This window comes from Homo sapiens, chromosome 7, assembly GCF_000001405.40.
Source record: "Homo sapiens chromosome 7, GRCh38.p14 Primary Assembly".
Taxonomy (NCBI): Eukaryota; Metazoa; Chordata; class Mammalia; order Primates; family Hominidae; genus Homo; species Homo sapiens.
The window spans coordinates 140,515,792-140,542,341 of NC_000007.14; the positions used below are offsets into that span (position 1 = coordinate 140,515,792).

Genomic DNA, 26,550 nt, shown 5'->3' on the forward strand with positions numbered 1-26,550 from the left:
TATTCAAGGAGGTAAAGGAAGACAGGGTTTTTAAAGGAAAAGTAGGGAGGATCACATTGTTTTGAGATCATTATCCTTGGCTACAAGGATCCATAACAAGGCTGGCGCCAGTCTGAGGCTGGACAGGCAGTTGCTGGGCAGATGTCCTCACACAAGTATTTTGTGTGTCTGTGTGGCTCCATTTTGATTCTGGCAACTTTCACATGGTCATTTGTGAACGTTTGTTAGGCTGTACACTAATATCTGTATGTGTATTTTTAAAGTATGTATATTTTGGCAGGGCGTGGTGGCTCACACCTGTAATCCCAGCACTTTGGGAGCCAAGGCGGGCGGATCACCTGAGGTCAGGAGTTTGAGACCAGCCTGGTCAACATGGTGAAACACCGTCTCTGCTAAAAATACAAAAATTAGCCAGGTGTGGTGGCGCCCGCCTGTAATCCCAGCTACTCAGGAGGCTGAAGGGGGAGAATCGCTTGAACTCGGGAGGTGGAGGTTGCAGTGAGCCAAGATCGTGCCGCTGCACTCCAGCCTGGGGGACAGAGCGAGACTCCATCTCAAAAAAAAAAAAAGTAAATAAATTTAAAAAAAAGTATGTATATTTTACTTTAAGCAAAAATGAAAATTAAGATGGGGCAAGTGTGCTAAGATACTTGTACAAAGATGCTGTTTTCGATGTTATGATGTTAAAAACTGGAAACGTCCTGCATGTATAAAGAGCCAAAGGCTGATGAACTAATAGCTTTTAGTATCCCCACAGAATGGAATATTATGCAGTCATTGGGAATGTTGATAAAGATGTACATTTATTTGCTTGGAGTTATTAAGTAAACAATATAATGCGAAATAAGTTAAAAAAAGAAAGTATATTCCAAAAAGTGTCCCTTTCTGGGCAATATACAAATATGCAGACTATTAAGAAAGTTGACTAGTCTGAGGAGCTTGCTAGATACATATATTCCTGAGCCCACACACAAACTTGACTAATCCAAGGAGCTTGTTAGATACATATTCCTGAACCCCCACACTCAAGGATTCAGGGATTCTCATTCAGGCATCCCCCTAGTCCCCACCCACACACACCCAGCCAGAGTTTTTTTGAGAAGGAGTCTTGCTCTGTTGTCCAGGCTGGAGTGCAGTGGCATGATCTCGGCTCACTGCAACCTTCTCCTCCCCAGTTCAAGCGATTCTTCTGCCTCAGCCTTCCAGGTAGTTGGGATTACAGGCACGCACCACGATGCCCGGCTAAGTTTTTCTTGTATTTTTAGTACAGATGGGGTTTTGCCATGTTGGCCAGGCTGATCTTGAACTCCTGACCTCAGGTGATCCACCTGCCTGCCTTGGCCTCTCAAAGTGCTGGGATTATAGGCATGAGCCATTGCGCCCGGCCAGGCAGGTTAATTTTTATGCACAGCCTGGTTTCTACCATTCTGGGAGCATCTTTGAGAATTTGATGTAAACTGTGGATCTTCACCTCTGAAAAAGTAATGGACACACCAAAGCCTGGGTAGAACTTGGAGGGGCGAGGGGGTCCATAACTCCAGCTAAGAGGAAGGATGAGAGGTCACCTCCCCTCATTTTCCTCATTTCTATTTATCCTCGGAAGGCCCCTTGCTCCCGCTCCCTAAAGGTTGAGAACCCCTGCCAGGCAGTATGGCCCCTCTGGGCCATTGTTGAGGTCGGCGCCCCTCCCTTTTGTGTTTCTGTGAGGGTCGCTGGTGAGAGCTGAGGGCAGGGGTCACCTGGTAGTGGCCCTGAGGCTTGCTCTGAGAACCTGCCTCAGCTGTGTTCGGGGCTTTTCCTGCCTCCCCGCTGTCCCTGCTGTCCCCACTGTCCCCGCTGCAGGACAGCTCTTAGGTCGCCCTGAGGTTTTTGGCCTTCTCCACACCCTCCCTGCTTCTGGTCCAGAAAACGCAAGCTGCCTCTCTGGCTGCACACGGCTCATGACGCCGCCCCAGCGTTCTCACCCTCCATCTTGTTACCATCAGCCGCAAAAGGTCCCCCCGCCCCCCACCGTGTACAGGCAGTGCACATCCACTATTGCATTAATGCTGCTCTGGGCCCCTGGAATGAGATGGGAACGGGGTCAAAGTTGTGGCTATGTGTTGGAAGGTGGGCCGTGAGCAGTGTCGTAAACTTGAAGACCCCTAGAACAGTTTACTGACCTCTTTTTGTGTGTGTGCCTCTAAAAGCCAGGGACTACTCAGGCAGTGGACAGTTCCATGGCTTCTTCTAAGAGAACAAGGCAGTCAAGAAGAGTCAGGTCCATTTGGGAAGAGAGACGTCCATGGCCTCGGCCACCAGGTGGCATCACTGTCCCTTCTGGAAGAGCAGCGTGTCTGGGAAGCCACATCCGTCTACAGCTCCCGTTCCTCCCTAGCCTCCACTCTAGGGCAAGGGCCCAGCCTTTCACTAGGAGGCCTCACTCCCTGAACCCGAGGCACCGGCTCCGCCTCCTCCCCTCACAGTCCTCATGTGTCGTCAGTCCCGCTCCGAGGAGCACCTCATTTCTGTTGCCCATCACCACTCCTCTTAGCTCCATTGCTGAGCGGCCGGATGGGACGAACGAGGGGAACGTGTAGGGCAGGACAGGCTCCTCTTGGCCTTGGCATAATAAACAGAAAACCCACACATTTTTCTTACTTTTAATATCTAAGATAAAAAAAAAAACCCAACCACCAAAACAACCCATTTGCATGTCGGCGACACGCCTGGTCTCGGGCTCCCTTTCTGGGGCTGTCCTCCCAGGCGGCTCCCAGGTCCTCATCCAGGGAAGAGCCCAGCCTCGGCCAGAAGCCACCGCGGCCTCCAGTTCCGCACCGTGACAACCTGGGACCCAGCCTTTCAGAAAGGCCACCAGGAACTGTTTTTAAAGCATAGGGCTGCACTAGGAGGAAGTTTTCCCTTGAGGCTGAGAGTTATTTCTTGTGGAGAAATTTCATTTTATTGCCTAAAAAAAAGGAAAATGAGAACATTTCACAAGGCAGACAAAGGAGGGTGAGATAAATCTTGCCCTTTCCACCCAGAAGTGGTGCGGGTAACGGGGCCCCCACGCCACCCCAGGGAGCCTCATCCCTTGCTCTGGAGAAGCCAAAGGGGCTTTGTTCTTTCCAGAGATCCCCGTGGGGTCTTCCTCAGACTTGAGGGGGTTTGAAAGGAAGACCATCAGAGCTGTCTAGGAGGGCTGGCTGCTTCTGTGGTAATAAAGGAAGCACCGAATTAACACATCCCTCAGGAGCCAGGGGAGGAGAAAGTGCCCAGCAATGCTGTGTGTATTTAAAACACTCTGCTTCCAGGTAGCCCTCCGTCCTGCAGGAGGCACAGATATGGCGCCCTTCACAGGCCCTCTGGGAGGGCCTCACTGCTGCAGACACCTCCCTACTGGGGCCTCCGTCCTCTTTTTTGGCTGTCTTCATTCTCCCTTTCCCTTTAAGGGCCTTTTCACTGATTAAACTACAGTCCTTGTAAGTGTCACGTTTCTACTTTCCAGAGGAATTTGGACACCAGTGCGAGTCTTTCTTGCCAGACGTCCTTGTCTGGTTCCCGCCATGCTCCCTCAGCTCAGTTCCTCTGAGATTTAACAGTGCAGGAGATCATAGAGAAAGAAGACAGCAAGAAAGCCCGGGGACCCAGAAAAGGAGGTGCTGGGGGCAGCGTTTCCTTTGTTTTCTCTTTGGGGACAGATTAGAACAGGAGGTTAAAATGCCAGTAGCATCTGCCCAGCGCAGGCCGTAGAGCTCTGCATTATTCAGGGCGCTGGCTCCAGTGGAGGGAACCGGCTGGGACTCCGAGACAGACAGCTCAGAGGCACACAGGCTGGGCACCCAGAGCCCGGGGCCTTACCTAGTCCCTTCAGGAACTTATTGACACCGCTGTGCTCTCCACTGGGGAGTGTTTCCAGATACTCTTGGGCTCGGACCTCAAACAGACCTGTTAACAAGAGAAATCCCAGCCATTTGAGTTCTTGGTCTTTGCACTTCTAAATGTGTCCATTTCCTCCCTACCAGAGAAAAGAGAAACCTTGTTTCTGAGACTAAGCTGCTCCTATAAACATGCTCTGAATCAGGAGGTTTTATAAGGATTTTATTGCTCTTATAATTGCCCCACCTGTGCAGTAACTCCCTTTGGAAAGCTATAAAGCCACCTCATAGATGAAATCCTATTTTTATTCAACAAACGCCTTCCGAGCGTCTACACTGTGCCAGGCGGGCAGTTTTAAAGATGAACCGGAGTGGCCAGTCATGGTGGTTCACGCCTGTAATCCCAGCACTTTGGGAGGCTGAGGTGGGCAGATCACCTGAGATCAGGAGTTCGAGGCCAGCCTGGCTAACATGGTGAAACCCTCTTTCTACTGAAAATACAAAAAAATTAGCCAGGTGTGGTGGTGCACGCCTATAATCCCAGCTACTCGGGAGGCTGAGGCAGGAAAATCGCTTGAACCCGGGAGGCGGAGGTTGCAGTGAGCCAAGGTCACGCCTTTGCACTCCAGCTTGGGCAACAAGAGTGAAACTCCGTCGCAAAAAAAAAAAAAAAAGTTGAACCGGACTGTCCTGGCTTGGGAGGGGTGTCTGTGCTCTCCCATTTCCCTGCATTCTCCTGTACGAGGGCCCTGGCCAAGTGGCTTAGTTTTCCAGGAGTCCCTCTGTGGAGGTGTGGAGGGAGGATGGCTGGATAGGCCATCTCTTAAGCCGCTTCTCAGACCCCTGGGGTCTGAGCTTCAGGCACTCTGTCTTCATTGCTGACTGATCTTTCATGGACAGAGGGTTCTTTCCAGGGTTTTTTTTTTTTGAGATAGAGTTTCGCTGTGTCACCCAGGCTGGAGTGTAATGGTGCCACTGTGGCTCACTGCAAGCTCTGCCTCCTGGGTTCAAGCGCTTCTCCTGCCTCAGCCTCCTGAGTAGCTGGGATTACAGGCGCCTGCCACCATGCCCAGCTAATTTTTGTATTTTTAGTAGAGACAGGGTTTCACCAAGTTGGCCAGGTTGGTCTCGAACTCCTGACCTCAGGTGATCTGCCCGCCTCGGCCTCTCAAAGTGCTGGGATTACAGGCGCGCGCCACAGCGCCCGGCTTTTTCCAGGTAGTTTTTTTTTTTCTTTTTTTCTGAGACAGAGTTTCATTCTTGTTGCCCAGGCTGGAGTGCAATGGTGCAATCTCGGCTCACTGCAACCTCTGCCTCCTGGGTTCAAGCGATTCTCCTGCCTCAGTCTCCTGAGTAGCTGGGATTACAGGCGCACACCACCACGCCTGGCTAATTTTCTTTATTTTTAGTAGAGACAGGGTTTCACCACGTTGGCCAGGTTGATTTCCAACTCCTGACCTCAGGTGATCCGCCTGCCTTGGCCTCCGAAAGTGCTGGGATTACAGGCGTGAGCCACCATGCCCGGCTTCCAGTAGCTTTTAAGCTTGTGTGTCTCACACCTCTCTTACCAAGTGATCTGTAAAGAGAGATTTAAATGTAACTCATACTCTCCAATCAGTTTTCTTTTTCTTTCTTTTTTTTTTGTGACGGAGTCTCACTCTCTCAACCAGGCTGGAGTGCAGTGACATGATCTCGGCTTATTGCAACTTCCACCTCCCAGGCTCAAGTGATCCTCCCACCTCAGTCTCCTGAGGAGCTGGGACCACAGGCACACACCATCACACCGATCTAATTTTTTAAAACATTTTTGTAGAAAAGGGGTTGCACCATGTTGTCCAGGCTGGTCTTGAACTCCTGACCTCAAGTGATCTGCATGCCTTGGCCTCCCAAAGTGCTGGGATTATAGGCGTGAGTCACCCACTGTGCCCAGCCTGAGAATTTCATCAATTTGGAAAGAATGGGATAGAAGGAGACCCTGCCACAGACACTGGAATGTGGTTCTGGGAGAGGCTGGCAGAGGGAACAGAGAAGCCAGGAGAGGGGGCCTTCCTACCAGCTCAGTCAGGGCATAACTGCAAGCTCTCTGGGGGAGATGGACACAGTCCTGTCTGTGCCCCTGCCCTGTGATCTTTCTCCCTACTCATCAGCCGCCTGGAATATAGGGAGCTCTAGCTGACTCGGCCCCAACAGAGAAGATGCCCCTCACCTTTGGCATCCTGCCGGCGCAGCTCCCGCTCCTGGATGAAGCCCCGAAACATCTGAGTCTCCATGAAGACCTCCAGGAAGTGGCGGAGGCTCTTGGAGGAGACAGCTTTGCGGAAGGCCTCCCGCTGCAGGGTTCTCTCCTCACGCTCGCCCGACGTCAGGAACAAAGAGTAGTGTCCCACAATCTCCACGAAGAAGCGGACAAAGGCTTCAGACACCACCTCGTTCAAGGGGCTGGACTCTGGACCTGAGTAAGGGGAGGAAAGGCCAGGAACGGTGAGGGCAGACAGGCTGGGCCAGAGCCCTTGAGACAAGCCAATTGGTAATCAAAGAACAGTAACTGCTAGTTCCCTTGATGGAAACTGCGATTATCCAGGAGGAGGGTTACCCAGGTTATTAAGACATTTCTTTCCATGCTTAATTTTTTAAATTTTAAATTGTTAAAAAAGTTTTTATTTTTATTTTGTTTTTATTTTTTGAGATGGAGTCTCACTCCATTGCCCAGGCTGGAGTGCAGTGGCATAATCCTGACTCACTGCAACCTCTGCCTCCTGGATTAAAGCAATCCCTCTGCCTCAGCCTCCCGAGTAGCTGGGATTATGGGCATGCGCCACCACGCCCAGCTAATTTTTGTATTTTTAGTAGAGATGGGGTTTCACCATGTTGGCCAAGCTGGTCTCGAACTTCTGAACTCAAGTGATCTGCCCACCTCGGCCTCCCAAAGTGCTGGGATTACAGGGATGAGCCTCTGTGCCCAGCCTTTTATTTTTTTTGAGATAGAGTCTTGCTCTGTCTCCCAGGCTGGAGTGCAGTGGTGTGATCTCGGTCCACTGCAACCTCTGCCTCCTAGATCAAGCGATTCTCCTGCCTCAGACTCCCGAGTAGCTGGGATTACAGGCGCTTGCCACTATGGCCAGCTAATTTTTGTATTTTCAGTAGAGACGTGTTTTCACCATATTGGCCAGGCTGGTTTCGAACTCTTGACTTCAGGTGATCCACCTGCCTCGGCCTCCCAAAGTGCTGGGATTACAGGTGTGAGCTGCTGTGCCTGGCCACAGTTTTTAATTTTTGATTTTTTGAGATGGGATCTCACTCTGTTGCCCAGGCTGGAGTGCAGTGGTGTGGCTCACTGCAGCCTCAACCTCCAGGGCTCAAGGGATCCTCCTGCCTCAGCCTCCCGGGTAGCTGGGACCACAGGCATGTGCCACCATGCCCAGATAATTTCCACGCCCCCCTTTTAAACAGGTACTTTAAGGCCAAAATGGGGGAGGTGGGAAAATCTTTCCCACAATTCACTGTGGGAATGAAATCCAGATAAACAGAATGAGGCCCTGGTTTCTCTCCTTATGTCTCCCTTGCCCATATTCCTACTTGGCCCTTGGCCACTGCCCATTTGTTCCCTGACCCTCAGAGTGGAAGGGAGAGACCCACTGGGAGGTGGCTGAACACTTACCGTGCCTGCCGTCTAGGGGCCCTTCGTCCTGCTCACAAGCCAGCTCGTTCCTCTGTTCCAGAATGTGTTCCAGGGCCACCTGAAGCTTCCGGGGCAGGATGGAGTCCTCATCGTCCATCTGGAAAGCAGAGGTAGCAGGTGGGCTTATGGGCACGGTGGCTGCGTCTTGGCCATAGGACACACTGGAGCCACTGCAGGGCAGGCCTGGCTCAGTCTCCAGTTTCATGGAAGGAATACAACTGAAAGCCAGAGGTCTGAGGTTTCAATCTTGAGCCTACTTTTTTTTTTGAGACAGAGTTTCACTCTTGTCGCATAGTCTGGAGTGCAATGCCATGATCTTGGCTCACTGCAACCTCTGCCTCCCGGATTCAAGCAATTCTGCCTCAGCCTCCCAAGTAGCTGGAACTACAGGCGCGTGCCACCGCTCCTGGCTAATGTTTTGTATTTTTAGTAGTTTAGTTTCACCATGTTAGCCAGGCTGGTCTCGAACTCCTGACCTCAGGTGATCCGCCCACCTTGGTCTCCCAAAGTGCTGGGATTACAGGCGTGAGCCACTGCACCTGGCCGAGCCTACTTTTTACAAGCAACGGGAGCCTCGTTTTCCCCACTTGTAAAATGGACTACCAATCAATCTGTACCTTGTTGTGAAGCTACAATGGACTACAATTACCCTGTGAAAGGGCTTGGCACTGAGAGGATACTCAATAGATGATTTCCACTGCTCCATCCTGTAGGGTAGCTAGTGGATTCTGGTAACCAGGGGATTCTGGCCAGGGCAGATGGCCTGTGTGATCTAAGGCTGGCTTTGGGATCAGGGCCTCAGAGCAGGAGGGTCTTGGGAAGGGCCTACCCTGTGGGCCTTGAGGAAGTGAAAGTAATGATAAAAAACAGCATTAATGCTACTGAACTTTTCAGCAATGTGGCAACACTTGGAAGTAATCCATCAGAATGCCCAGAGAAATTTTCTGTAATTACTATAATTACTTCTTGCAAAATCTGATAGAAGTTAGGCCTCTCTAGCAAATGATAAAAAGAAAATACATGTGTGTTACCTTCTCTGCTAGTGAAAGTAACTGATGATCATTATAAAAATATATGAATGTACTAAAACAATTTAAAATCACTCATAATCTGTCTCCTTTCAGTTTCCCTCCCCAAGACAACAAGCGTTAATGTTTTAGTGGGTTTTCCTTTCAGTCCTTTTAAAGTGCACGTGCGTGCGCGCACACACGCACACACGTATATACATATTTTTTTTCCTGTCTCTTCTCTCTTTTTTTTTTCTTCAGGAAAGGGTTTCACACTGTCTCTCGGGCTGGAGTACAGTGGCACGATCTCAGCTCACTGCAGCCTTGACCTCCCAGGCTTAAGTGATCCTCCTGCCTCAGCCTCCTGCGTAGCTGCTGGGACTACAGGTGCATACCAGCAGGCCTGGGTAATTTTTTAATTTTTTTATAGACACAAGGGTCTCACCATGTTGTCCCAGGCTGGTCTTTAACTCCTGGGCTCAAGTGATCCTCCTGCCTCAGCCTCTGGAGGTGCTGGGATTGTAAGTGTGCCCCGGCCAGGGCAAATATTCTTTTTTTTTTTTTTTTTTGAAACGGAGTCTCGCTCTGTCGCCCAGGTTGGAGTGCAGTGGCGTGATCTCGGCTCATTGCAAGCTCCACCTCCTGGGTTCACACTATTCTCCTGCCTCAGCCTCCCAAGTAGCTGGGACTACAGGCGTAAATGCATATTGAAGCTGGGCATGGTGGTGCATGCCTCCAGCTACTGAGGAGACTGAGGTGGGAAGATCACTTGAGGCCAGGAGTTTGAGACCGGCCTGGGCAACATAGTGAGACCCTGTCTTTTTTTTTTTTTTTTTTGGAGATGGGATCTCACTCTGTCACCCAGGCTGGAGTGCAGTGGCGCAATCTCCACTCACTGCAACCTCCACCTCCTGGGTTCAAGCAATTCTCCTGTCTAAGCCTCCCAAGTAGCTGGGATTACAGGTGCCTGCCACCATGCCTGGCTAATTTTTGTATTTTTAATAGAGATGGGGTTTCACCATATTAGTCAGGCTGGTCTCGAACTCCTGACCTCAGGTGATCCACCTGTCTCAGCCTCCCAAAGTGCTGGGATTACAGGTGTAAGCCACTGCACCCAGCTATTTTTAAAAATGAAAAATCTAGGTGCCTATAGTTATAAGATTACAAAGAATCTTTTTCTAATTGTTAGAAAACCATTTTGTGTCAGAACACGTAGAAAGCAATCCTTTGCCCAAACCCTTCCTTTTTGCCCCTTGCCTTCTGGCTTGTCCTCAGCCCAGCCCCGTCCTGGGGTCACACAGCTCTGCCACCCTGCTCTGCAATCCCAAAGAGCCTTTCCAAGGCTGGAGAGCTGAGCCCCAAACAACAAATAGGTAAAGACAAAGGGAGCAGGAGGCCGTCGCTGGCCTCACTCACCTGTCTGAGGAACCGGCTGTTGACGAGGTCAACCACAAGGACCTATGAGATGAGACGAAAGGGACTGTTACTGTCACCAGGGCTTCTGGGATAGGGATGGACTCATAGCCTTCTTCCTTCTTGGCATGCAGAGAGGCAGCTGGGGCGGGGCTGGAGGTGAGCCATTTGTGGTTTCCTGACATTGCCACGGTAGCCACAGGTAATGAAGAGCAGGGCTGGGGAGGGTCCTTCCTGAGCTGCATGCTTTCAACACCGACACCGCAGGCTGGGATGCATGTGTGCTGTGGCTGGACTCACCGCCTGGCTTTCACACTGGCTGAGGCAGAGCTTCTCACGCTGCCTTTTAGGGTGTGGGCTACTGAGGTAGGCAAAAGACGCTGCAGGCCTCCCTGGCTCCCACCCTAGGGCCCCTGCCTTGTCCTTCCCCCAGCTGCCCACTTAACCGTATCATTTCCCTCCAGGGGAGAGGAGGAGAGAAACCCACCTGCAGACTCGGTTAGGCTTTGGGCTTTCACTGCTGAAGGCTTTCAGGATAAAGCACTTCCTCCCTCATCCTCAGAGTGAGAATGAGACCTGGGACAGGACCAGGGTGGGGCAAGTGAGGTGCCTGAGGCGCAAAGGTCCCACAAGTGCTGCTGCTCCTGAGAGCGCGACCCTCACTCAGACCCCAGCCAAGGCCACTGGCCGTGACGGAGGAGGAGCCAGGGGCCTGGATGGTCACCATAACAACAGCTGGAAACATGTGAGTTCTCCCATATCCCAGAGACCTGCCCAGGAGCGGAGGGCCACCTCTCCTTCCTTCCCACTCACACCCTCCGGGGTTGAACTGAGCCACCTGCAGGAGCACAGGGCACCCAGACGAACTCCTGGCTGCCCTCAAGCCTGCACTGAAAGCCCTAAGGCCGGTGGGTGATGTTTAATGGGGCGTTAGGACTATCTGGGCAATTAGAGGAGCAGCTTCTAGGGACCCAGACACAAATGCAGGACAGAGGGACAGGCGTTCCTCCTGGAGCTTCAGGGCTGAGCAACATTATTTAAGCTTCCTTCTCTGACTGCTGGAAGTCCCCAGTCCTCCGGGTCAAAACCATTTAGAGGAAGGGGCTGGGGCTAAGTAACTCCAGAAGTGCCAAGCAGGACTTTCCCCGCTTCGATGCTAAACTGGACACCCAGAACTTGGGGATTAAAAACATTTGTAACGGATATGACAACGGACCAGATCTTGCTAGCTCCTCAATGTGGGGGAGTGGGCGAGAGGGCAGGGGAGAGGAGAGGGCTATTAATGACTTAAGAGTTTTGACATCTGGCTAAATTGTTCATTGCTGACCTTCTCAAGAGGTGCTCATACCAGGCATTTCATTTGGAAGGGAAAACAGTGTTTGCAGTCACTGAGGGTCTGACTGAGTCAGCCTCTGGGCAGGACCCATGCCAGACAAAGCCCTGGTGCCCCCACGCCCTGCTCCCCAACACTGCTGGCTCTGAGAACCGCTCCATGATGCCTGCAGAGCCAGCGCCCCGCTCTGTTCTCCGCACCCTGCAGGGAGGGGGACAGGGCTGAGTGGGAGCTCACCTCTTCCAGCGGCAGCTCCCTGAGCAGTGGCAGCGAGCTGGAGAGCAGCCCGATGAGGAAGGGCGTCGGCGAGCACACGATGTCGACCATGGCGGGTGGCAGCACCGGGATGTAGGTGTGCTGCCAGGCGAAGGGGTAGATCAGCGCCACCATCGCGTGGCAGCACTTGGACAGGATGCTGCAGCCGGGGAGAGAACAGGGAGAGAGGCCGACTCAGCGAGGGCCCGAGGAAGCCTCCAGGGGAGAAGGCTCCTCCCAGAGACAGGATGACTAGGAAAGGACACACGTGGATGTGGATCCGGTGGAGCACATGATGGTCTCAGCACAGGCCACACCAGGCACTTAGAGCCTATGCGAGAGGCTTGCAGGCACAGCTACAGGGATGAGTTTAACGTCCTGGATAATTTTTACAAGTGCGTTTCCACATGTGAGCTGCACGCCCTGCACTCTCCCGCCCTGACCTTTTTTTGTGATCTATACTCTTGTAAGGTTTTTATTTATTATTTATTTATTTATTTATATTTTTAATTTTTTTGAGACGGAGTCTCACTCTGTTGCCCAGGCTGGGGTGCAGTGGCGTGATTTGGGCTTACTGCAACCTCTGCCTCCCAGGTTCAGGTTCAAGCAATTCTCCCACCTCGGCCTCCTGAGTAGCTGGGACTGCAGGCACGCGCCACCACACCTGGCTAATTTTTGCATTTTTAGTAGCGATGGGGTTTCACCATGTTGGTCAGGCTGGTCTTGAACTCCTGACTTCAAGTGATCCGCCCACCTCAGCCCCTCAAAGTGCTGGGATTACAGGCGTGAGCCACCATGCCTGGACTCTTGTAAGGTTTTAATTTATATTCATTTCCACCCTTACTCCCTGCCCCCTACACAAACAAAACAAAAACACAAACGGTGAAAGCCTATTTTCTCATGAATGCTCCTTCTCTTACTGAAGATCTGAAGATGCTTTCTATTGAAACACTGTAGCTTTTGCTTTGTTCTGTTCCAAGCATTCTTTCAGCTGAGCATGAACACCTAGGAAATCCGGGAAAAGGACAGAAAACTCCTTTGGTACTCACATGCCAGCAGTCAGCTCCAAATGGGTTCCAAGTGAAGCTCATATACAGTTGAGCCTTACCCAGAATTCTGGTCAAAGATGATATGCTAGAGATGACTGAGGGCTGCCGGGCACGGTGGCTCACGCCTGTAATCCCAGCACTTTGGGAGGCCGAGGTGAGTGGATCACCTGAGGTCAGGAGTTCGAGACCAGCCTGGCTAACATGGTGAAATTCCGTCTCCACTAAAAATACAAAAAATTAGCCAGGCATGGTGTACGCCCAGCTACTCAGGAGGCTGAGGCAGGAGAATCGGTTGAACCCAGGAGGTGAAGGTTGCAGTGAACTGAGATTACACCATTGCACTCCAGCCTGGGCAACAAGAATGAAACTCCATCTCAAAAAAAAAAAAAAGAGATGACTGAGGGTTAACCATTTTATGCATTGAAATTTTTAAAAATAATAACATTGGGAGAGGCCAGGCACAGTGACTGATGCCTGTAATCCCAGCACTTTGGGAGGCTGAGGTGGTCAGAAGTTCAAGACCAGGCTGGCCAACATGGTGATACCTCATCTCTATCAAAAAATACAAAAATTAGCTGGGCATGGTGATGCACGCCTGTAATCCCAGCTACTTAGGAGGTTGAGGTGGGAGAACTGCTTGAACCTGGGAGGCGGAGGTTGCAGTGAGCCGAGATTGCGCCATTGCACTCCAGCCTGGGTGACAGAGTGAGGCACTGCCTCAAAAACAGAAACAAAACACCAAAAAAAACACTGGGAGAAATATTGGGAGTTTCTCTTCAAGAAAAATGGTCAGGCTGGGTGCGGTGGCTGACGCCTATAATCATAGCATTTTGGGAGGCCGAGGTGAGTGGATCACCTGAGGTCAGCAGTTCGAGACCAGTCTGGCCAACATGTTGAAACCCCATCTCTACTAAAAATAGGAGAGGATGTGGAGAAATAGGAACACTTTTACACTGTTGGTAGGACTGTAAACTAGTTCAACCATTGTGGAAGACAGTGTGGCGATTCCTCAAGGATCTAGAACTAGAAATACCATTTGACCCAGCCATCCCATTACTGGGTATATACCCAAAGGATTGTAAATCATGCTGCTATAAAGGCCTGTGCCCACGTATGTTTATTGCACCACTATTCACAATAACAAAGACTTGGAACCAGCCCAAATGTCCATCAATGATAGACTGGATTAAGAAAATGTGGCACATATACACCATGGAATACTATGCAGCCATAAAAAAGGATGAGTTCATCCTTTGTAGGGACATGGATGAAGCTGGAAACCATCATTCTCAGCAAACTATCGCAAGAACAAAAAACCAAACACCACATGTTCTCACTCATAGGTGGGAATTGAACAAGGAGAACACTTGGACACAGGAAGGGGAACATCACACACCGGGGCCTGTTGTGGGGTAGGGGGACGGGGGAGGGATAGCATTAGGAGATATACCCAATGTAAATGACGAGTTAATGGGTGCAGCACACCAACATGGCACATGTATACGTATGTAACAGACCTGCACGCTGTGCACATGTACCCTAAAACTTAAAAGTATAATAAAACAAAACAAAACAACAACAACAACAAGATATATGTGTGTATTAAAATATTATGTTCCAGTTGAGCCCAAGAGATTGAGACCAACCTGGGCAACATGGTGGGGCCCTGTTTCTCAAAAAAAAAAAAAAAATAGCCTTTGGTGGTGACATGTGCCTGTGGTCCCAGCTACTCAGGAAGCTGAAGTGTGAAGATTACTTGAACCTGGAAGGTTGAGGCTGCAGTGAGCCGTGATCGTGTCACTGCACTCCAGCATGGATGACAGAGGGAGACCCTGTCTCAACAACAACAAAATCATCATTGTTGTACATGATAAATATATGCCATCTTTATATGACAATTAAAAATAATTAAAATTAAAAAATATATGTACACATAGCCTTCTTTTCCATTCCCCAATTTGGGGGCCCCTGGACTAATAATGGTACTATTGAATCTTGTTCATTTATCCCACTGTCTCTTAACCTTCCTGTTCTCTGTCTTTGCAAATAATCGTTCTCCTGATACTCACTGGAGTCAGGAAATAGCAGCATGGCATCCATGCATCGCACTGATATTCGGTCCTTATCTTTTCTTTCAAATGATCACCCCCAAGATGAGAAAAACGCTACCCCAAGATTTCATTCTTATCCCTACACTGTCTTCTTTATTAGCTGGGTAAGAGTAACACATTGCATTTGGAAGATACCAAGAAAAAAAAAAGAGTGAGAGAATAATGAAGTTAGGACTTATATTAAGGAGAATACTATCCAGAATCCAGCCAGAGCTTAGGGTGAAGTGACTTCTGTGTCTTTCTTTTTTTTTTTGAGACAGAATTTCACTCTGTCTCCCAGGCTGGAGTACAGTGGCATGATCTCAGCTCACTGCAACCTCCACCTCCCGTGTTCAAGTGATTCTCCTGCCTCAGCCTCCAGTGTAGCTGAGATTAACAGGCATGCGCCACCATGCCTGGCTAATTTTTGTATTTTTGGTAGACACAGGGTTTCACCACGTTGGTCAGGCTGGTCTCGAACTCCTGACCTCAGGTGATCTGTTCACCTTGGCCTCCCAAAGTGCTGGGATTACAGGCGTGAGCCACCACATCCGGCCGACTTCTATGACTTTCGAAGGATCTAGATCTACATCTTCTGTCAAAGCAGAGATACCTTTCCCTAAGGCATCACTTCCTCTCAAATATTCAAGAATGTTAATGCTTTAGTTAATTCCTCACCATTTATGTTTTAGTTCCTTGATCTATAAACCACTGAATGTACTGAATTCACTTTGTTCTAAATTGTTTATTTTTTTATTTTAGGACTAATCTATGTTGATGCGTGGAGCCAGGCTACAAAGTTGCTATGCTCGTGTGCTATGGTTGTAAAGTCAGGACTTAGAAAATCAGAACATTCACATACAAGTGAGGATAGTTGTTTCTAGAGCAAGATTTTTCAGACTATAGTTTGCAGCCCATTAGTGGGTCTTGAAATCATTTTAGAGGGTTGCGATCAGCATTAAAAACAAGAACAAAAAGAACAGAATAGAAAATAAGAGAGTGTGCTGCACGTTTCCCAGCTGTAAATAACTATCTGTGTGTGAGCCGGGTGCGGTGGCTCGTGCCTGTAATCCTAGCACTTTGGGAGGCTGAGGCGGGTGGATCACCTGAGGTCAGGAGTTCAAGGCTATACTGACCAACATGGAGAAACCCCGTCTCTACTAAAAATACAAAAAATACAAAAACAAAAAACGAGTCGGGCATGGTGGCGTGTGCCTGTAATCCCAGCTACTCAGGAGGCTGAGGCAGGAGAATCGCTTGAACCCAGGAGACGGAGGTTGCAGTGAGCCGAGAATACGCCATTGCACCCCAGGCTGGGCAACAAACGCGAAACTCTGTCTCAAAGGAAAACAACAACAACAACAACAACAAAACAACTATCTGTGTGTGTGGTGGGGGCGGGTGGGAAGGCATACCCTGGGTCTGATTGTAAGATGTGCTTCTCATTGTGGGCTGCAATGAAAAGGGCTTGAAGCCAGTGATTTGGACTAGAAGACTGGGAGTGGGTGCTGGGCACGGTGGCTCACTCCTGCAATCCCAGCACTTTGGGAAGCTGAGGCAGGTAGATCACCTGAGGTCAGGAGTTCGAGATCAGCCTGGCCAACATGGTGAAACCCTGTCTCTACTGAAAATACAAAAAAATTAGCCAGATGTGGTGGCGGGTGCCTGTAGTCCCAGCTACTCGGGAGGGAGGCTGAGGCAGGAGAATCGCTTGAATCCGAGAGGCAGAAGTTGTTGTGAGTCAAGATCACGCTGCTGCACTCCAGTCTGGGCAACAGAGTGAGACTCCGTCTCAAAAAAATAAAAGAGACCTTAAGAAGGAAATCCCTGCATGAAGGTATTTTGCATGAAACCAGTCTCTTTTTATAGCACGTTTGCCAAAGTGCCTAAATGTGACTTGGAAACGAAGTGGTTCATGAGAAGATCCATGGTCCATTTCCCTAGTCTTTGAAACTCTGACTTTAGTCCGTTAAAGGAGAAGAAAAAATGCAGTATTTGTGTTTAAGATTCCTTCTACGCGTCAGACTTGTGGTTCAAGCACTTTTGACTTCACAGTTACAGAATGACAGAATTTAGACCTGGAAGAGTTCTTGGGGATTGAGTTCAGTTTCTTTTGGATTTTTAAGGTAGGAAGAGTGAGGCTAAATGAGGCTAAAGTAACTCTGAATGTAGGATGGGGCAGAGTAGGGAGAGAAGGGTCCTGCAGACTGGAGAAGGCAGGATTGCTGCTCAGAGGAATGCAGGCATGAGGAGGCACCCTACGATCCAGGCACAGTGGCATGTGCCTGTAGTCCCAGCTACTGAATCCCAGAGGCTGAGGTGGGAGGATCTCTTGATCTCTGGAGTTCAAGTCCAGCCTGGGCAACATAGTTAGATCCTCATCTCTAAAACAAAAAATTAAATGTATATAAAAAGGAGGATAGCCTATGTGTGTTTTTTTTCCCAATCATTGCAATAGAAAAACAAAACAAAAACATGTTTAACTTTTTTTCCCAACTCAAAGAAAAGGCTACCTGCTTTTTTTTTTTTTTTTTTTGAGACAGTGTCTCACTCTGTTGCCAGGCTGGAGTGCGGTGGCACGATCTCTGCCCATTGCAACCTCTGCCTCCCAGGTTCAAGCAATTCTTCTGCCTCAGCCTCCCAAGCAGCTGGGACTACAGGTGTGCACCACCATGCCTGGCTAATTTTTTGTATTTTTGGTAGAGACGGGATTTCACCATGTTGGCCAGGATGGTCTCGATTTCTTGACCTCATGATCCACCCGATTCAGCCTCCCAAAGTGCTGGGATTACAGGCGTGAGCCACTGCACCTGGCTGGCTACCTCCATTTTTACTTCCTTGTGGTCTCATTCCTAGAAGGAGGAAGTACAAGGGGCTGCTCCCTTCTCCTTGCTGTACAGCCCCTTGGGGCTCCTTGCTGTACAGCCCTTTGTGACTCCTAAAGCCCTATGTTGCCTTCAGTGACAGAGAGGCCCCCAGGGCCTGGGACACCCGGAGGCCCTGGTTCAGCTGCAGTGAGTGTGAACCATCTGGAGGAGAAGGTCGTGGGAGCAAGGTCAGGAAAGATGACCAGCAATGCCGGTGCTAGATGCAGAGGCTGGTGGAGAAACGTGACAGAAAGGAAGCCAAAGTTCACTCAGTGAACTGGATGCATGGGGCTCCAGGACAGCAGTGTTCAGGCTTGATGCGAGAAATGATGACGACTCGGCTGGGGAACCAGCTGGCCGCGTGGGAGGAGCTGCCCGTTTGTTGACTATCTCCTGTGGTAAGTTTGTTTTGAGTAGTCTGATCCCACTGTTGTGGCTGCAACAAACGTTTCTGTACCTGGTTATCATGAATACCTCGTTAGCTGGAGCCCATGGAGCACAGGGTGCTGGAGACAATACGGCAACAAGCAGGCAGGTGAAGGGTCTTATTCCTCTTGCTCTGTAGCCCTCGTCAACGTTTTTTCTTTTTTTAGATGGAGTCTCACTCTGTCGCCCAGACTGGAGTGCAGTGGCACGATCTTGGCTCATTGCAACCTCCACCTCCTGGGTTCAAGCGATTCTCCTGCCTCAGTCTCCCAAGTAGCTGGGATCACAGGCACGTGCCACCAATGCCTGGTTAATTTTTTTTTTTTTTTTTTTTTGAGATGGAGTCTTGCTCTGGCACCCAGGCTGGAGTGCAATGGTGCGATCTTGGCTCACTGCAACCTCTGCCTCCAGGGTTCAAGTGATTCTCCTGCCTCAGCCTCCCGAGTTGCTGGGATTACAGGCACGTGCCACCACGCCCAGCTAATTTTTGTATTCTTAGTAGAGACGGGGTTTCACCATGTTGGCCTGGCTTATCTCTAACTCTTGACCTCATGATCTGCCCACCTTGGCCTCCCAAAGTGCTGGGATTACAGGCATGAGCCACCACGCCCAGCCCACATCAATGTTCTAAAAACAATTCTGCCCCTAAACACTAAAAGGAAAGGTCAAATTTTGTGAATAATTCCATGAGTGGCAGCCCTTTCCTCAAAATAAATGATAGAGCAGGAAAGGATTATTTTGGATGGAGCTTGTTTCTCTCAATCCCTGATGCAAGTGGTAATAAAATTTTATTCCCTGACTTGTGAAGGCCCGAGGAGCCCTCAAGGAGGGGGATGGGAGGTGGGCACTCCTGGGACTGGTGGTCCCTTAGGAACATGCCAATAGTCAGTGGTTCTGGGGATGCTAGGGATGACTGGTCAAGAGGGCTTGCTGCAGAGTGTGGAGGTGGAGGGGCTAGAGAAGAGGCAGTGTTTTTGAAGGAAGACATAGAAAGAGAGTCCTCACTCGCAGCTGGCTTGCATTACAGTGGTGTGGAGGAAAGAAACGCCAGCACTCACAGCTGTGATCAATTGTACAAAAGTGGGGCAGGGAAGAGAAGGCCCCAGTGGGAGGTTGGCTGGGCCTCAGGGTTAAAAGTTGGGCATGGGTGAGAAGGGTTGGGTCCAAGGATGTTTTGCTGTTGGGTGGTGGTTCCTGAGTGTTGGAGCAGTATTCCAGAACATCAGGACGCACTTGTAAGGAATGCCAAAGTTTTCCTGGAGCCAACTTTTTAGTTCTGGTTGCTACCAAGCCTCTGCTCCATACTTGGTGTTCCTATGCTCAGCTGGCTTCCAACTCTCTATGAAGCAGTAAGGATCCAGCACAGAGCTTCCTCTAAGATGCTACCAGAAAAGTAAATGAAGAGTTTCCCGAATTAGAGGAACACCCCAGGAACTGGAAGGCTGATTCAGTGAATGCCCTTTAGTATCCCAAGCAAAGTAGCTCTCCTATTGGTGCTCCACTCCCGAAAACATGAGTGAAAGGTAAATTCACGTGTGGTCTGGTGCCTGGTGAAACCTACTAGGAGGTGGGAGTCACCATGCAGTGGCTCCTGGTTTCCATCACTGTACTTGCAAACCCTGAGGCCGTGTGCCACACAGTTGAAAACGAACACAGGCTGGGCTTCAAGACAACTAGTTCTGTTACTCTCTGCGTGATCTCAGGTAAAGCCCTGAACTGCTCCAGGCCTCAGATTCTCACCTGTGAAATAACTAAAGTAGACTAGATCATCGCTAGATCGTTGCTGATGTCCTTCCAGCTTCTTTTTTTTTTTTTTAATTTTTTACTTTTTGAGATGGAGTTTCGCTCTTGTTGCCCAGGCTGGAGTGCAATGGCGTCGTCTCAGCTCACGGCAACCTCTGCCTCACAGGTTCAAGCGATTCTCCTATCTCAGCCTCCTGAGGAGCTGGGATTACAGGCATGTGCCACCATGCCCAGCTAATTTTTGTATTTTTAGTACAGATGTGGTTTCACCATGTTGGTCAGGCTGGTCTCAAACTCCTGACTTCAGATGATCCACCTGCCTCGGCCTCCCAAAGTGCTGGGATTACAGGCTTGAGCCACTGCACCTGGCCGTCCTTCCAACTTTAACATCTACAAACGATGAACCCAGAAGAGAGAGCAAAGGCCAGGAGCTGGAAACAGGAGCTTTTGTTGAGGCCATCAAAAGAACGAAGGGTGTCACAGGAAGGTAATTCTAGCGCTCCTTAGCCAAGACAGAACAAAAGAATGATGGTGACACTCACTAAGAAATTCATAGAGAAGGCCGGGCATGGTGGTTCACGCCTATAATCCCAACATTGTGGGAGGCTGAGGCGAGCAGATCACTTGAGGTCAGGAGTTTGAGACCAGCCTGGCCAACATAGTGAAACCCCGTCTCTACTAAAAATGCAGAAAAATTAGCCAGCCGTGGTGGCACATGCCTATAGTCCCAGCTGCTTGGGAGGCTGAGGCAGGAGAATCACTTGAAACTGGGAGGTGGAGGTTGCAGTGAGCCGAGATCATGCCACTGCACTCCAGCCTGGGCAACAGAGCAAGCCTCCATCTCAGGAAAAAAAAAAAAAGAATCTCAGAGAAACGTGTCTGAGAGGTTTCCAGTGGCTGCAGTGCATCCAAAAGGTGAAGATGACAGTGTTTCAAAGCCAGTGTAGTCTGGGAGGGATTCGACTCCAAGAGAAGAACTGGAATAAGCTTCCAGCCCCAGGATATGTCAGTGATGGGTCTGGATTAGAAGACAACAGCATTTGTGGCTATGCCAAACTCTAAATCTTGCTCTAATTGGTATCTTGTTGGTGTTCATATGCAAAAATAGGTGGTTAATACTTAACATTTAATCAGGCTGTACAATTATACTATTAAAATTGTATTTTTTTTTTGAAATGGAGTCTTGCTCTGTTGCCCAAGCTGCAGTATAGTCGTGCCATCTTGGCTTACTGCAGCCTCCCTCCTGGGTTCAAGTGATTCTCCTGCCTCAGCCTTCTGAGTAGCTGGGATTACAGGCGCCTGCCATCATGCCCAGCTAATTTTTGTATTTTTAGTACAGACGGGGTTTCACCATGTTGGCCAGGCTGGTCTCGAATTCCTGACCTCAGGTGATCAATCTGTCTCAGCCTCCCAAAGTGCTGGGGTTACAGGCGTGAGCCACTGCACCTGCCTAAAATTGTGTTTTTCATAGGACTTTGCTGAACTAAATGTACTTATCTCTAAGACTCTGTCAACCATGCTGAGGACTAGCTAGACCTCTGAAGTATCTTATGGATGCCAGAGCAGCAAGGTGGCAGCTTTAAACACTTTCGGCTAGGCCTTGGGCAAACTCATCTCCCTAGAGAGGTGTGGTGAGAAGCCCAACCTCCTGGGATGGCAAATGTTGCTGGGTGCAACCAATTCTAAAAAGGACATGGGATTCTCATTTAAGCTTGTGTAAACTTATTAAAAATGAACCAAACCGAACAAATAAGAGGATGAAAGTGCACAGCTACATATGAACTTATTTGTGTAGTTACCTATATGTCAAAGACAAGGTTCAAACTCCTGTATGTGTCAAGATTTGCCCACCTAATCCTACTTATCACTAGCCAGTAGTCTATCATTTAGCTTATGGTTTAACGCACTACAAACATATAAGTCAATTTCTTATTTGTTTTATTTTTTAATTTGCTTTTTAAAGACAAGGTCCACCCCAGCTGGAGAGCAGTGGTGCAGTCATAGCTCACTAGCCTCAAACTCCTGGGCTCACGTGATCCTTCCACCTCAGCCTCCTGAGTAGCTGGAACTACAGGCATGTGCCAGCATGCCCAGCTCATAAATTCCTTGAATATTAAAAACTTTGTCCCCTATTAAGGTGTTTTTCATTTGTTTGTTTGTTTGTTTGTTTGTTTTAAGAGATGGGGTCTTGCTATGTTGCCCAAGCTGGTCTCAAACTCCTGGGCTCAAGCAATCCTCCTGCTTTGGCCTCCTAAAGTGCTAAGATTATGGGCGTGAGCCACCATGCCCGACCTCCCTCTAAAACTTTTTGCACATATTTGTTTACGTGCAGCTCTGACTTTATCATTCAGCCTGGTCTGTAGGTTTAGCCAAAACTTTGGGGAACTGAAATTAGTAAAGTAAAAAACAAAATGTTCATCATCAGGAAAATGAAGGCGAGGGTGTAGAGAAGTATTTATCTGTTGTCATGACCACAGAACAAGCCATCACAACAGCATTCTTTCCTTTCCATCTGTCAAACTCTTGCTTGACAGAGCCACTAGAACACTCAATGTCCAGCCTAAAGATAAAACAGAGCAAAAATGTTATTCTAAACTTGATAGATTTTTGGCTCAACTTAAAACCCTTTTATAACTCATACAATCTTTGCCATAACTCCCTGAAGCTTCCTCTTGCAGTGGGAGACTCACAGCGATGATGAGAGAATAAATTGTGTTTGTGGGGGAGAGTGCTGCGGGGGTGGCTACCGACCTAGAGTGGGCGAAGGTCCTCTCTGGGATGTCACCGGGCCACGCACTGAGTCTGTGACATGTCCTGTTCTCATGCCCTGTTCCATGCCCTCATTAAGTTAGGGGCTACAGCTGGAAATCAGGAGAATAAGGAGGCTTTCTGCCACGTGAGCGGAGCAGGGTTGGGCATGAGTGCATGTGCAGCCCCAGGAGTACTGGGGATGAGGGTACCAGCTGTAATTTAACCTGAAGACTTTCTTTTTTCTTTTTTTAATTTTTTTAATTGAGATAGAGTCTCACTCTGTTGCCCAGGCTGGAGTGTAGCGGTGTGATCTCAGCTCACTGCAACCTCCACCTCCCAGGTTTAAGTGATTCTCCTGCCTCAGCCTCCTAAGTAGCTGGGATTACAGGCGCCCGCCACCATGCCCGCTAATTTTTGTATTTTTAATGGAGACGGGGTTTCACCATGTTGGCCAGGCTGGTCTTGAACTCCCAACCTCAGGCGATCCACCTGCCTTGGCCTCCCAAAGTGCTGGGATTACAGGGATGAGCAATTGCACCTGGCCCTTTTTTAAAAAATTTTTTCTTTCTTTATTTTTTTTGAGACAGAGTCTCGCTCTGTTGCCCAGGTTGGAGTGCAGTGGCTCAATCTCAGCTTACTGTAACCTCTGCCTCCTAGGTTCAAGTGATTCTCCTGCCTCAGCCTCCTGAGTAGCTGGGATTATAGGCGTGTGCCACCACGCCCAGCTAATTTTTGTCTTTTTGGTAGAGACAGGGTTTCACCATGTTGGCCAGGCTGGTCTCGAACTCCTGGCCTCAAGCAATCCACCGGCCTCAGCCTCCCAAAATACTGGGATGACAGGCGTGAGCAACTGCGCTTGGCCTAAAGACTTTCCAGAATTTTCCAGGTCAGGCAACTTGCAGCCAACCATTGGTCCCCAAACCCTTGTTTGTCATGGCCTGGCCAAAGAACACTTCAATTCCCTATGGCTACTTTCCCATAAATCAGACAGATCGAGGTGGATACGGATTCTTCCACCTGGCCCATGGAGTCAGAGAGTTTCAAAGCTGGGGGAGGCCTTGGGGGTGACCTGATCATACCTGTCTCACTGGGACCCTGCTGGAAGGCCAAAGGCTGTAAGGGAGGCGGGGAGGGCCCTGAGGAGAAAAGCACAGACTTCCCCATGACCTGTTAGCCTGACTGCTGAGCACAAAGCGGGTCCTGAGGGCCTGTGCTAGGGAGACTTTCCTTATACATTTCTGTAAACGGACAGGGCCCCAGACCCTGCCCTTCACCCAACCCTGGAGTCTGCAGCCCAGCTGCTTTCCCTCCGTCCTCTCCAAAGCCCGGCAGCTCTCCCACTCCCTGCTTCTTTGAGCAGAATGACGGATCCTCTGCACGCCTGTTAGTTACCCATGTGACAGGGCCGTAGGGGGCATGAAATGACGCAGGTCAGACCCTCAGAAGGCGCCCGGCACAGAGGCCGCTCAGAGGCCACTCCACGCCCCGTCGCTGCCGTCATCCTCATCAGCTTTGCTCACGCGTTGTTTACCCTCTTCCTGTCTCAGAGCTCTTCGGGCCTTTCTTTACGCAGATTTCCATCTCTTCAGGTCTGCATGGAACCCGTGTAGGATGGAAGGACGATTTATTGGGCAGCGGGGAGAGCATGTGGAGCCATTTGTAACAGGAAAAGCGAGGGCTGCTTTCAGAGAAAACAAGACAGCGGAGTCCCGGAAAGTCAGAGCCATGCGGGGCCGCGTCTTATGAACGAGGAGACCCAGGGCCAACGGCTAAGGATGCTCAGGGGTCCCCCCTACTCTGGGAAACCTCCCTGAGTGATGGCGGAGGGATGTGTACCTCTGAAAGCTGTAAAGGGTCTAAAAACCCAATGACGGTCTTTCTCACACTCGCACACCATTACTGTACCATGGCCTGGCTCTCGCTCCAAGGAGGGCACCACAATTATCCACGTTCCTGCTGCCTTCTCTTCTCCCACAGAAATCCCATCCTCACAGCGCCTGACATTTGGCAGCTGCTGCAGAAGAAAACCCCTGATGGGCACAACGTGCCCGTGGGGAGACCTGCTTGTGGCAGCCACAGCTGGCATCTGACCCACTCACGGCATGAGCCGTTTGAAAAGACGAAACCTCCAAGGGCAGAATGCCAGGCACTATGGAAGGTTGGAGAGAAACACCAGTGCCTTTCCTATGGACTGCACTGGTGACTGTCTCCTCTGTTGAGGGGTCCCAGAGCAGGGCAGGGAGGGTGGCTGGGGAACAGCCAAGGCCCAGGAATCCAGGCAGGGTCCACTCTCGGCCACTGGACTTTGCTCATTTTTGTCTGTCTCTGGTGACAGCAGCTCTGTGGGAGGGGCTGGCCCAGCGTCCAACCTGTCCACCCGGAAATCTGTCCAGCAAAAAGGCGGAGGCGTCAAGTCCTCTCTCAGACGTCACTGGGGCAGGCATTTCCAGGTTTCTTTCTTTCTTTTTTTTTTTTAGACAGGGTCTCGCTCTGTCGCCCAGGCAGGAGTGCGATGGCATGATCTCGGCTCTCCACAACCTCTGCCTCCCAGGTTCAAATGATTCTTCTGCCTCAGCCTCCCGAGTAGCTGGGATTACAGGTGCACGCCACCACGACCAGCTAATTTTTGTATTTTTAGTAGAGACGGGATTTCACCATGTTGGCCAGGCTAGTCTTGAACTCCTGATCTCAGGTGATCCACTCGCCTCGGCCTCCCAAAGTGCTGGGATTACAGGCGTGAGCCACTGAGCCTGGCTGGCATTTCCAGGTTTCTTTGTGCCCTGAGCCTTCTGACATGTCCTCCTGCATTGCCCTTTGGAGATGTGTTTGTCTCTGACAAGGCCCCTTCCCTTTTCTGTTCCCACCTTTTCTCTCCCTGCACTTAATGTTTTTAAGTTTTTTTTCTTCTCCTTAATTTTTAGAGACAGAGTCTCTCTCTGTCACCAGTGAGACTGGTGTCTCACTGTACTTTTACCAGAAAAATGGATGATACTTTGTTTTCTTCCCCCTGGAGGGAGTCTGGGGGAGGCTGGGGTGTGTGAGGGGGCCCACGGCTCCTCTCCAGCTGTGCCCTTCCCAGACATCTTCTCAGGGTGGGTCCTCCCCAAGTCTAGCATCTTCACCCCGCAGGCACGTTCCCGGGGGACTCTGTCCCCACCACCACTCCTGGGGGGTGCTGGGTTTCCTTGGCTGGCTTTCCACTTCTAGCCCAGGCCTTTCTGAAATCCATCATTTTCCCCTCCCCCACATCCAAGCCTGAGAATTCCACCTCTAGCGGATGGAGGGAGTGGGGGATGGAGAAGATAAAGACAGTTACTATGGTGCTGATGAAATCCGATCCTGGCCACTGAAGGGTTATTACTCATCCTGGCTTCCAGGGCTCCAACCTTGAGAACTCCCTGGGCTGAATTCCCCAGTGCCCGGGAGCTTGGAGAGCTCCTCAGCGCCCAGCACCAGCTGCAAGGCTTACAGAGAGGGCCTGCTTCCTGAGCTGACAAAAGTGCACCGGGAGTACGATCACGCTGACATTTAAAAGTGCATAGCGAACTAAAACACAGGGTGGGAGCAGGCTGGGAACAGCCAGATGGCTGCTGTCCAAAGAGGTGCATCAGAAAGGTGACCAGATGCGGCGCATGAGGGGAGAGGGTGGGGCCGCTTCCCGCCCCGCCTCCTGAGGAATTCCACATCTACGGAGTTTGTCCCTTCCATTCTTCTATGCCTTTTTTTTTCCTTCCCTTTTGTTTTCCATAGTTCAGAGTCAGATTTCCTCTCCAAACCACAGTGCTTCAGGTTTTTTTTTGTTTTTGGCACTGCTTCTTTCCAGATGGACTTCTCAGGTGGCCTCATCTGCACCACCCGGTTGGCTGGCCCCGCATCTCAGCCCTTCCTGGGGCTGCAGCCACACCCCTCACGCTTCTGTGCCCCCAGTTCCAAAGCAAAGAAGGCTCTGATTCAGTATTTCAAAAATGAGCTTCTTTTTAGAAGCTCAGAACGAACCCAAGTCCTTGTCTGCATTTCCTTCCGGATCTTCTTTGTTTTGTGACGTGGCCTTAGCAAATTATTGAATGTGCCCACTGGGAC

General features: G+C 50.0%; 1 protein-coding gene across 4 annotated transcripts in view, besides 1 other annotated feature; it reads right to left on the reverse strand.

Moving 5' to 3' along the window:
- Positions 1 to 2,627: 2,627 nt before the first annotated feature.
- DENND2A (DENN domain containing 2A) overlaps positions 2,628 to 26,550 on the reverse strand; it is a 123,042-nt gene continuing 99,119 nt past the window's right edge. For 3 of the 4 annotated variants that reach the window (NM_001318052.2, NM_015689.5, NM_001362678.2), the window contains 6 exons: positions 11,527 to 11,704; positions 9,960 to 10,001; positions 7,516 to 7,633; positions 6,064 to 6,309; positions 3,841 to 3,927; positions 2,629 to 2,947 (listed from right to left, as the gene is read on the reverse strand). In NM_001318052.2, the coding sequence (NP_001304981.1) occupies positions 2,916 to 2,947; positions 3,841 to 3,927; positions 6,064 to 6,309; positions 7,516 to 7,633; positions 9,960 to 10,001; positions 11,527 to 11,704 (703 nt within the window). In that variant the 3' untranslated portion in view covers positions 2,629 to 2,915. Of the gene's footprint in view, positions 2,948 to 3,840; positions 3,928 to 6,063; positions 6,310 to 7,515; positions 7,634 to 9,959; positions 10,002 to 11,526; positions 11,705 to 26,550 lie in introns of all 4 variants that reach the window. The other variant, NR_134477.1, reaches the window with a different exon arrangement.
- Positions 11,496 to 12,110: an enhancer, noted in NCBI's record as "H3K4me1 hESC enhancer chr7:140227087-140227701 (GRCh37/hg19 assembly coordinates)". NCBI's record gives its function as "activates a minimal SCP1, AML or CMV promoter by ChIP-STARR-seq in primed H9 embryonic stem cells {active_cell/tissue: H9 hESC(primed)}" and the evidence as "EXISTENCE:reporter gene assay evidence [ECO:0000049][PMID:30033119]".